Raw genomic sequence first — 12,162 nt, forward strand, 5'->3', positions numbered from 1 at the left:
AAATGAAGAGGGATGCACTGAATGTGATTATCTATAAAAGTGCTTTGGTGCCCTTGAATTCAACTCTTATTTCTAAACTGGAACTGCCCCCTGAGTTCTACCCAGGAAGTAAGTAAGAAAGCTCCTTTATGCTATTTAGGGTTAAATAATAATTCTTAAACTCAGAGCATTCATAATTGTGACCCTCTTGACCATTGATATTATAGAAAGATGGCAGAAATTCTTAGAAAAAGCCCATGCATGTTAAAAAGTAAAGGATAGGGACTGCTGGCAAAAGACAACAGATTAAAGCAACAGGTTTTATTTTCTCCCTCTGATTCCTATCAAACACCTCTAAAATGACAAAAGAGGAGTAAAATGACATAAAAATATAAAAGCAGAGAATGGTCTGCAAGATGACATTGGATGAGAAACAACAACATTATTTTGGAAGTTAGAAAGTAGATGCACAAGTAATGATTGACTTGATAAAGAAGAGAAAGCTGAACCTAAATAGAAGGGAAAGACAGCAAAATGAGGCTGAGTCTATGACTCAGGCAAGGCGCAGGGGGCCTGGAGATTCTGGGTTGCTGGATACATTGGAAGGGAACAGGGCTGTAAACACAGGCATTCTCTGAAAGCCTGCATAAGGAGCAGTTAGCTACCTGATAAATCACCCACCTTGTGCAGCCAAACAACCCACTCTCTCTACCTGACAGTAGCAGAGAGGGTTGTCTTCAGATAACTGAACCAGGGACAACATGCCCAACAGAGGGCAATGCTGAGATACTTTACTGGAAATAGAAGGATTAATTTAAAGTCTACACACTGGCTGACAAGACCCTGAACTTCTGTTCTCTGCATATCTCCTAGAACTTCAAATAGTTCAGTAAGAAATTGAAGAAGTTTTATCTAGAGAACCAATATGCCCATAAGGAGTTAGGGGTTGAGGAGGGGCACTAAAAATACTAACACTTGGCATCCTTCAAAGAAACAGCCAGATCTCCATTTGATCTTATGTATTAGTTCTCACGCTGCTAATAAAGACATACCCGAGACTGGGTAATTTATAAAGAACAAAAGGTTTAATGGACTCACAGTTCCACATAGCTGGGAAGGCCTCATAATCATGGCGGAAGGCAAAGGAGGAGAAAGACATGTTTTGCATGGTAGCAGGCAAGAATATGTGTGCAGGGGAACCATCAGATTTCGTGAGACTTATTCACTGTCATGAAAACAGCATGGGAAAGACATGCCACCATGATTCAGTTACCTCTCACCCTGGCCTTCCCACAACTCGTGGGAATTATGGGAGCTACAATTCGAGATGAGATTTGAGTGGGGACACAGCCAAACCATATCATCTTACTATTTTAAAACCCATCAGTAAATATGTTATAATGCTACTTGTGCTTTTTTGCTAAGCAATGACTTTTAAAAAAGTAATTGCATTATGAGCTTTAGGACTTCCAGGGTGAGATTATTAATATAAGAACATTTTAGTAATCTATTCTATAGCATTGTAATCACTGAACAATTGAGCAGAAGGAGCTTCCACTCCAGTGGAAAGCTCTTGAAAAATAATATATGTTTTTGACAATGTGGCTGTTCTTCTGCTCTTCTCATTTGGCCCCTTGTATATCAGTTATGTATTTCCACAATAATGCTGAAAAGAATCCACCCAGAATCTCAGTGACTAAAAATAATAAGCCTTTATGTAGCCTGAGAGTGTGTAGCTTGGCTAGGTAGTTATTCTGGTGTTGACTGGGCTCACTCAGTTCATTTGTTTGTGGTCAGCTGCAGGTGGTCCTGCAGCTCTGTGTGTGTGTCTTTCTGTGTATTTGGGGGTCAGCCAGATGTTGGCTGGGCTAATATTGTTCAGGCTGGGATAATGAGGGACAACTCAGCTCTGTTTCATGTGTCTCATTCCCCAGCATTCTTGTCTGGGCATGTCCATGGCAAAGGCAGAGGAGCAAGAGTGAAAGCAAGCCTCAAGATGTAAGTGATTTTCATGCCGCTGCTTACATCATGCTTGCTAATGTCCCAGTGCCCAAAGCATGTCACATGGCTGGTTCCAGAATCAGGACAGATGAAGAACTAGGTCCATCAGTGCCATCAGTTTGCCACATCTGGCTCCCTCTTTTCCCTCCATCTTTTCTTTGTGTCTGGAACCTACTCTAAAATTCAGGGAGTATAATATTTTGGCCTACCGTTATCCAACAATTTGCTCTTGACTTAAAGTTTCCCAAGCTGTATACTTTTTATCACTTTACTAAACATACAACTCAGCTTGAAACCAGAGTATATTTGCCTTAGAAAGCTACTCACATAAAAAGAAATCCCTCAGAGGTTGAAGGGAACCAGCTTATACAACAGACTCTGTGTTCTTTGAAGTGTGGTTATGAAGGGTTCATCAACATGGGACTGAATTTATAAATCTCCACTCAGAGTTGACATGATAGAATCACTTTGGAGCTTCCTCTGATGTGTCTTGGAAGTTCAAATTCTTGGACACATAAAGGATGGTGTCCTGGTGGGGTAGATATATTAGTTCTTGGTTTTGGGACTCAAGGTGGGTGATCTTGACCAATCACTTGACTTCTGCTTCCTTTTCTGAGAAAGACTGGTAATTATTCTTTATGAAGAATACCTATCTCATAGACTTAAGGATTAAATGGCACAAATGGATGATGATACTAATCTAAAGGTATACAATTCTAAACCAGTGAACCATTTTTATAGTATTCTTATGACAAAAAGTTGCCCTTCTGGTGGCATTCACAGTAATAATAGCTTTCAATTGCTGAGTGTGTGCTATGTGCCAGGCATGATGTTATGCACTTTGTCTCCACGATTTAAATTAATCTTCATGGAAATGCTATGGAAATTAATATTTTTCTTGTTTGACAGAAAACTGAGTTTTAGAAAGGTCAGCTAACTTACCGAATTTCACATGGTAATGAAATGAGTGCAGTGAAAGGAACCTGGCAGATACATTCCAGAGCCTTGCCTTGCCTTTTTCTTTTTTGTTTGTTTTGTTTTTAGACAGGGTCTCACTCTGTCACCCGGGTTGGAGTGTGATGGTGCAGTCTTGGCTCACTGCACCTTCAAACTCATAGGCTTAAGCGATCCTCCCACCTCAGCTTCCCTAGTCACTGGGACTACCGGCATGTACTACCACACCTGGCTAATTTTTTTTTTATTTTTTGTAGAGATCTGGTCTCACTATGTTGCCCAGGCCAGTCTCTAACTCCTGAGCTCAAACGATTCCCCTGCCTTGACCTTCCAAAGTTCTGGGATTACAGAAATGAGCCACTAGGCCCCACCCAGATCCTGTTTTCTTAATTATTTTTCTTGCACTGTACATGGTGTCAATCTTTAGCAATTGTGAGTGAGCCTTCAGCACTCTCCAAAGCATTCACCCAGAATTAACTCCCATGACATAGCATCATACCTTAACTAGAAGACATGTTACTATTAATGATCTTTATTAAGCACCTACTGTGTACAGCATACTGCTAAAAGTGAGGGTATAAGAAGAAGACAGAGAAAGACTCTTTAGAAAAATGTGACCCACACCCAAAGAAAATAAATAGCTTATAGCCAGGATGGGTGGAGGACAGCTGACAGGTGGGACTGAGTGGAGACTGGAGAACTATACGTGTGATAATGGCTTCTAATTGTTTGTTCAATGACCATATATTGGAAGTCTACTATGAGAAAGATGCAAGGGGTAGAAAAATGAGTAAAGCTGTCCTTTTCCTAAAAGAGCTCAGGTTCTAGTGAAAGACACACACACACACAAACACACTACAATGACACAGCATGATAAAGGGCTCTAATAGAACTTTGGTTTGGGTGTGGGGTCTGGGACAGGTGCTGAGTCCAGGGAAGGCTCCACAGGAGGTGACAATTGAGCTGAATCATAAAAAATGAAGCAGAACCTCTCAGAAAGAAAAACCAATATTGAAACAGAAACAGAAAAGGCTATGTAGTGTGAGCAAAGCTCTGGGAGAGGAACAGTCCATGGCAGGTGCGAGATAGAGTTGGAGGGTGAAGGCAGGTGGGAAAAGAGCATCAGGAGGTGATTAGGGGCCAGATCATGAAGAGTCATGCTGAGAAAATGGAGTTGTAGCTTAGAAAATGGGAGCTGCTCATTTTAAGAACCTGAAATTCCCTCATTAAGTAAAAGTTAAAATGGTAAAATGCTTCAGTACCCCTGTTGGGCAGGGTTTTCTTGTGCTTTTTGATAGGACTAGCAGAGGCACATAATGGAGATGCCCCATGTCCAGTGCCATCCATCTTGCTGAAAAGGCCTTCCTGTGAGACCACATGACTTTCCCACTGACAGAAGCCAGGCAGACAGGCTGTCTTGTGCATTGGCCCTTGGAAAAGCAGAGCTGCTACAAAATCTGTTCCTGAGAAGTTCTAATTCATTTTCCCCTTTGCCAATGCTGAAGGAGCTGGGATGCCAATAGGGCAAGTTCCAGACACGGCTTCTGACCTTACTCCCTGGTGCCTGTAATAGCAGCACAAGCAATGAACAAAGCATAAAGGTGTGTGCAAGCCTGAACTCCAGTCCACAATTGTGCACAAAGTCTGCTAATCCAAGACTGGAACGGGCTGTGCACAAATGAGGCAATTCGGAAGCCAGGAAGAGCATCTGCATGTGCATGCTGTGAATTAGTAAGCAAGCTGCCACTGTGGGTTCCCTCTAATGTCATCTTTTACTTCTATCAGCTTGAAAATACTTCAGAAACCTCTTTGCCCCTGGTCCCATGCCTGATGAATGGCCTGTGATCATCAATGCTATGCTCTGCTTACATCCAGGATATTATTTTAAAATCCTCTGTGTTTCCCACGTTTTTAAATGAAAGAAGTTGCCAGGTTTCAACAGTAGGCACTTGGTAAGCCTGTTTCTAAGATTTCTGGATGAAAAAGACAAATTGTTCTACCAGAGTTCCAAGAAAGAAAGTGATTATTCACATCCTATGAATCTACTTCCATCCATATGCTCCCTCCTTCCCTTTGAAACCTGACCTGCTTACTCTGATACACACATCATACCCACACACAAACCCACACATACTCCTACATGCCTCTCATATTCATGAAACTACCTGGAAGGTTGCTGAGATCCCGGTAATTCAAAATTATATAAAATCTAAGAGAGAAGTCTGTGTGGATGGGTGTCAGTGTTCATATTCATACATAATTGTAGTCATATATATATATATTTAATATATATAATGTTATATTTTGCTATATTAACATACTGTTCATAAATATTTTCCCAAGTTTCTTCCTTGTCCTTATAATTACTGTCCTAGTAACTACTACATAATATTGCAATGGGTTGGTGTATCATATTCATCTTATTTATGGTCTAACTTAAGGCATTTTAATTTTAAATATTTATGATTATTACTAAGGCTATAATGGGCATTTTTGCGTTGCGTGCTGTAGAATGATTTCTCCAGGATACACATCGTAGAGTGGAATTATTGGGGGAAAAGGATATGAAAAATTTTATAGTTCCTAATAATAATTATCATGTTGTTTTCTAAAATAGGTGGTACAAACTTTTTATATCATTAGGGGTGTGAACGTGCCAATTTCACAAGAATTTTCTCAGTAGTAGGCTATGATTTTAATGCATGTTGTTTGTTCTACTAATCTGTTGGGCGTAAAGTATTATAGAAAATTTTCTTAATTTGAAATTTTATGATTGGTAGGAAGCATAAACATTTTTCCAAGAATTTACTTAATGTGATGTAAGTGTTACATTTACTTTTTATGTGATGTACATTGTTTATAGTCTTATATATTTGGTGTCTATGGGTTTTTCTCATAACTTTAATGAATTCTTTAAATGGTGTAGATATTAACCACTTATATGCAATATTAGACATTTGCAGACTGTAATAATTTGCTTTTGTGAAATGTTCTTTACTCAACTCTCGACAAGACCTACTTCTCATCATCATTCAGCTCTCTGTTCCATTACCATTTTTTTAGAGAGAGTAGCCCTGATCTATCTATACATAGTGAAGGGAGAAGAGTGGGTGAGAACAAGACCTTTAGAGCCAGAGTGTCTAGGTCCAGATCTTGGCTTGCCACTTACTGTGTAGCTTTGGGTGACATATGAAATGGGGAAAATGATAATATCCACCCTTTAGGATTGTTGTGAATATTTAAAAAATTGATATAAGCAAAGTGCTTAAAACCATGCTGGCCAAAAGGAAAAACAATAAAAACATAGCTATTTTTATTTAGGAGTATAACGTCAGAGGGCAATGGAACTGAGTTTTTAATCAGTGGAGAAGAGATGAGAAAGTAAGCTCGGACTTTCTTCCCCATCGTTTCCCAGACCTAGCCCTGCTGGTATGGTTCTCTTTGATGCTTCAATAAACATTGATCAAGATCTTCTACATCAAGTGACTATGATAAATTATTGCGTCCTGGGAAAAAATGTTCTTAAAAAATGAGTCCTCCAGAGGCATTGATTTGGGGGATAAAATATAAATATGCATATTAAATAATAGCATGCCACAGTGGAAAGAACATGGATTTTGGAGACTGGTTGACCTGGGATCAGATCCTGTCTCCACCTTGGGCTGGTTGTGCAGCTTTGGTCAAGTTTTTCGATCTTTCTGAGCCTCATCCAGGCCCTACTGGCTTGATAGGAGAGTTAAATAAGTTGACATATGTATGTAGTGCATATGGATCATAGTAGACATTCAATATGCTATAATAATTGTATTAAAAGGAGGGCAGGGGTGATTATTCTTTGAGAAGTGGAATTTCTTTTACTGCCTGATGAAAGAAAAAACCCTGGGGGTTCAGACAACAGATGAGTTTGAACAGATCCTTAAGTGACAAATTTAAGGGTTAGTGAGAGACCTCAGTTGGTATAGCATGACATGAACCTATTTTATGGGCATATGCAGGTATATGGAGAACATGGGATGAAGATCATGTACTTGGAGTGAAGTGGATGGCTGAGGGATAGGAGTGATGGAAAATGAGCTGAAAAGGCAAGGCTGAGCTATAATGGTGAAAGGCCAAGGGGTTACTCTCAGAGATTCATTGCAGTTATTCAGATTCTCCTCACTTTTATGAGATCCTTTGGAACCAGAGAAAAGGGGCATTTGGAAAGCACAGAAAAATTTGCTAGTAGTTAACAAAAAAGATGTTAGCATTGTGCTTTATAATGCACTGAAGAGAGACTGTCTTAATTTATCCATCCCCTGGAACGTGAGGCAAGAATTGTTCCAGAGAAATGCTTTGACACATCCACACACAGGACAACTGTTTGAACTACCTAGATTAGCATCACGTTTGATCAGCAGCATCATCACCTATTATTTATCAAGCCCTTACTCTGTACCAGGCACTCTGCCTAGTGTATTCTGTGCATTACCTCATTCAATCTTCTCAATAGCCCTAAAAGCAAGTGCCAATTTTATTCTCATTTTACAAATAAGCAAACTGAAGCTTAGAGACATTCGATAGCTAGAAAGTGCCGAAGCTACATTTGAACACAGGATTGCCTGTCTCCAAAATCACTACTCTCAGCAGTCTCTGACACTAGCTTTACTATCTCTTTGTACAACTATTATTCGATCACTGCCCTCTCTCCTTTTTTCCCCATGTCCTCAAATGCATTGCATTTTCTTTCTTTCTCTCTCTGCCCTTCTACTCTTGCCCTTGCCCAAGCTTTCATTTATGAACTCAATGTCTCAACGTTTATGGAACACACAGTGTGCCAAGTGCTCTGCTAAGTGATTTTACTTCTCTATGTTATTCTTTCTCCATAATGCCTGACATGTTACTAGAAATGTACTCAATAAATACATGATCTTGTTAGGTGTGGTCTAGTGCCTCAAGGAATTGAATAAATACAGGATATTTTAGCTGAAATTCCAAGAGTTGAGATGCACTCATGCTTGCTTTCCTTCCTCTCCTTCTTTCCCTCCTTCCTCTTTTCTTTCCTTCCACAAATATTTGTTGTATGAATGTCTATATGAAATACTTTGCTAAGTGCTAGGGCTACAATAAAATACGCAGAAAGGCAAATACATTTAATTAAAACACATTTGTGATCCAGGACCAGGCTGCAATGGACATATCCTGGAGGCTGCTGCTCAATACTTGCCCCTCTCTCAATAGTGAGTAATATAGTGCTTGTCACTGCTGCCCTTTAAAACTCCAAACAGAATCAACTATGGACAAGAAGGGCAACCTCAAAGATTAAATAAGGGGGAAAGGGAGGGGGCCTGTGGGTAAATCTCATCCATTCCATTCTATCCAGTGATCAGATATTTTGAAGCAGAGGGCAGGTAAGATCCTGTGGTCATGCTTAAAAATCATGATCTGAGGCCAGGCGTGGTGGCTCACGCCTGTAATCCCAGCACTTTGGGAGGCCGAGATGGGTGGATCACGAGGTCAGGAGATGGAGACCACAGTGAAACCCCGTCTCTACTAAAAATACAAAAAATTAGCTGGGCATGGTGACGGGTACCTATAGTCCCAGCTATTCGAGAGGCTGAGGCAGGAGAATGGCGTGAACCCGGGAGGCGTAGCTTGCAGTGAGCCTAGAGTGCGTCACTGCACTCCAGCCTGGGTGACAGAGCGAGACTCCATCTCAAAAAAAAAAAAAAAAAAAAAAATCATGATCTGAGAGGCAGAGTTGGAGAGGGGGAGCTTTTGGAAAACCATGGGAGCTGGATGAGACAGTTCTGGTGATAAAGCAGTGTCTGAGTGTGTCCAAGTATTATGAAAGAGGCATTTGTGTCTCCCTGAATTTCATATGTTGAAGTCTTAACCCCTAATATGATAGTATTAGGAGGTAGGGTCTTTGGGGGATAATTAGGTTTAGACAATGTTATAAGGGTGGGATTAGTGTCCTTATTAGAAAAGACACCGGAACTTCTCTCTCCACCCTGTGAGGACACAGCGAAAAGGTGGCTGTCTGCAAACCAGGAAGAGAGCCCTCATTAAGAACTGAATCTGCACCAGGTGCGGTGGCTCATGCCTGTAATCCCAGCCCTTTAGGAGGCCGAGGCAGATGGATCACCTGAGGTCAAGAGTTCGAGACCAGCCTGACCAACATGGTGAAACCCCGTCTCTACTAAACATACAAAAATTAGCCAGGCACGGTGGTGGGCGCCTGTAATCCCAGCTACTAGGTGAGGCAGGAGAATCGCTTGAACCCAGGAGGTAGAGGTTGCAGTGAGCCGAGATTGTGGCATTGCACTCCAGCCTGGGCAACAAGAGCAAAACTCTGTCTCAAAAAAACAAACAAAAAAACAAAAAACAAAAAAACTGAATCTGATGGCACTTTGGCTCTTTGATCTTGGACTTCCCAGCCTTCCAAAACTGAGTTATAATTTTTGTTGTTTAGCCATGCAATATATGGTATTTTGTTACAGCAGCCCGAGCTGCCTAAGACACCAAATTTCTCTAACAACATGACTAAACGGCTTCTGTGAATGACTGACAGGAGCAGGCAGCACCCTTTTTTCCTTCTGGATGGGGTGGTAGAAGGATAACAGGATGCCATCCCACCTTGCTCACTTGGGGAGAAACAGTGTTTTCCAAATCAGACATATATATGCGGGGGATTTCTCATGGGGATTAGGCAATGGATCTAAAAAGGTGTTCTCCTCATGCCTGACCTCAGCTTATCCCATGGAGCCCTCTCTATTGTGAATCTGAAGGCTTAGCAAAAACCCTCAGATTCACAGTATTTTCTCAGTAAAGATCTGAACATCTGCAATGAACAGGTTTCTATGTTAGACAAAGTGGATTAATTTTATTATAAACAAAAACCACCTTCAAAAGAGTATTCATTGTTGGTTTTTGATTTTAAAAAGTAGAACCATTTGCACAAGTTCACCGATTCCCAACTGGTTGATTCAATGCATTACAAGAGAGGAACTCAGCAACCCTGGCTCATATTTTATCAGCCATAGCAGGACATAGAGTTTGGATTTGGGGGATCAAGGCACTTTCAATTTCCAGTATCAGATGCTCATTTATTTATTAAATGAACAAATTGAATATGCTTAGCCCCATAGGAAATAGAAATGTTACTTTCTCGTTCTTTGTCACTCATTAATAAATAGTGCACATTTGTGTAACAGTAGGATCAGTGAGTTAGTTTCAGTCTTGTATGTAAGCCATTTCATGGAAGTTTTTCAGTAGTACATTATTGCTTTCACCTTATTTTCAGAGATCTCCTGCGAATATCTGAAATATGGGACTGTTTTATTATGTTAAAAAGTTTAGTTAGCAATGCGGGCTCTTTTTTGGTTCCATATGAACTTTAAAGTAGTTTTTTCCAATTCTGTGAAGAAAGTCATTGGTAGCTTGATGGGGATGGCATTGAATCTATAAATTACCTTGGGCAGTATGGCCATTTTCACGATATTGATTCTTCCTACCCATGAGCATGGAATGTTCTTCCATTTGTTTGTATCCTGTTTTATTTCATTGAACAGTGGTTTGTAGTTCTCCTTGAAGAGGTCCTTCACGTCCCTTGTAAGTTGGATTCCTAGGAATTTTATTCTCTTTGAAGCAGTTGTGAATGGGAGTTCATTCATGATTTGGCTCTCTGTTTGTCTGTTATTGGTGTATAAGAACGCTTGTGATTTTTGTACATTGATTTTGTATCCTGAGACTTTGCTGAAGTTGCTTATCAGCTTAAGGAGATTTTGGGCTGAGACAATGGGGTTTTCTAGATATACAATCATGTCATCATCTGCACACAGGGACAATTTGACTTCCTCTTTTCCTAACTGAATACCCTTTATTTCCTTCTCCTGCCTGATTGCCCTGGCCAGAACTTCCAACACTATGTTGAATCGGAGTGGTGAGAGAGGGCATCCCTGTCTTGTGCCAGTTTTCAAAGGGAATGTTTCCAGTTTTTGCCCATTCAGTACGATATTGGCTGTGGGTTTGTCATAAATAGCTCTTATTAGTTTGAGATATGTCCCATCAATACCTAGTTTATTGAGAGTTTTTAGCATGAAGGGCTGTTGAATTTTGTCGAAGGTCTTTTCTGCATCTATTGAGATAATCATGTGGTTTTTGTCTTTGGTTCTCTTTATATGCTGGATTACATTTATTGATTTGCATATATTGAACCAGCCTTGCATCCCAGGGATGAAGCCCACTTGATCATGGTGGATGAGCTTTTTGATGTACTGCCGGATTTGGTTTGCTAGTATTTTATTGAGGATTTTTGCATCAATGTTCATCAAGGATATTGGTCTAAAATTCTCTTTTTGGTTGTGTCTCTGCCAGGCTTTGGTATCAGGATGATGTTGGCCTCATAAAATGAGTTAGGGAGGATTCCCTCTTTTTCTATTGATTGGAATAGTTTCAGAAGGAATGATACCAGTTCCTCCTTGTACCTCTGGTAGAATTCGGCTGTGAATCCATGTGGTCCTGGACTCTTTTTGGTTGGTAAGCTATTGATTATTGCCACAATTTCAGAGCCTGTTATTGGTCTATTCAGAGATTCAACTTCTTCCTGGTTTAGTCTTGGGAGGGTGTATGTGTCGAGGAATTTATCCATTTCTTCTAGATTTTCTAGTTTATTTGCATAGAGGTGTTTGTAGTATTCTCTGATGGTAGTTTGTATTTCTGTGGGATTGGTGGTGATATCCCATTTATCATTTTCTCTTATGTCTATTTGATTCTTCTCTTTTTTTCTTTTTTATTAGTTTTGCTAGCGGTCTATCAATTTTGTTGATCCTTTCAAAAAACCAGCTCCTGGATTCATTAATTTTTTGAAGGGTTTTTTGTGTCTCTATTTCCTTCAGTTCTGCTCTGATTTTAGTTATTTCTTGCCTTCTGCTAGCTTTTGAATGTGTTTGCTCTTGCTTTTCTAGTTCTTTTAATTGTGATGTTAGGGTGTCAATTTTGGATCTTTCCTGCTCTCTCTTGTTGGCATTTAGTGGTATAAATTTCCCTCTACACACTGCTTTGAATGTGTCCCAGAGATTCTGGTATGTTGTGTCTTTGTTCTCATTGGTTTCAAAGAACATCTTTATTTCTGCCTTCATTTCGTTATGTACCCAGTAGTCATTCAGGTGCATTTGTTTAGTTTCCATGTAGTAAAGCGGTTTTGAGTGAGTTTCTGAATCCTAAGCCAAAAGAACAAAGCTGGAGGCA

At 40.1% G+C, this 12,162-nt stretch overlaps 1 protein-coding gene across 4 annotated transcripts in view, besides 1 other annotated feature; it reads left to right on the forward strand.

The window, feature by feature from the left end:
- The window catches only part of KCTD16 (potassium channel tetramerization domain containing 16), a 314,814-nt gene that overhangs the window by 160,901 nt on the left and 141,751 nt on the right, over positions 1-12,162 (forward strand). The window lies entirely within an intron of this gene.
- Positions 1,810-2,069: an enhancer, noted in NCBI's record as "active region_23356". NCBI's record gives its function as "activates an Ori minimal core promoter by ATAC-STARR-seq in GM12878 lymphoblastoid cells {active_cell/tissue: GM12878}" and the evidence as "EXISTENCE:reporter gene assay evidence [ECO:0000049][PMID:35858748]".

This window comes from Homo sapiens, chromosome 5, assembly GCF_000001405.40.
Source record: "Homo sapiens chromosome 5, GRCh38.p14 Primary Assembly".
NCBI classification, from domain to species: domain Eukaryota; kingdom Metazoa; phylum Chordata; class Mammalia; order Primates; family Hominidae; genus Homo; species Homo sapiens.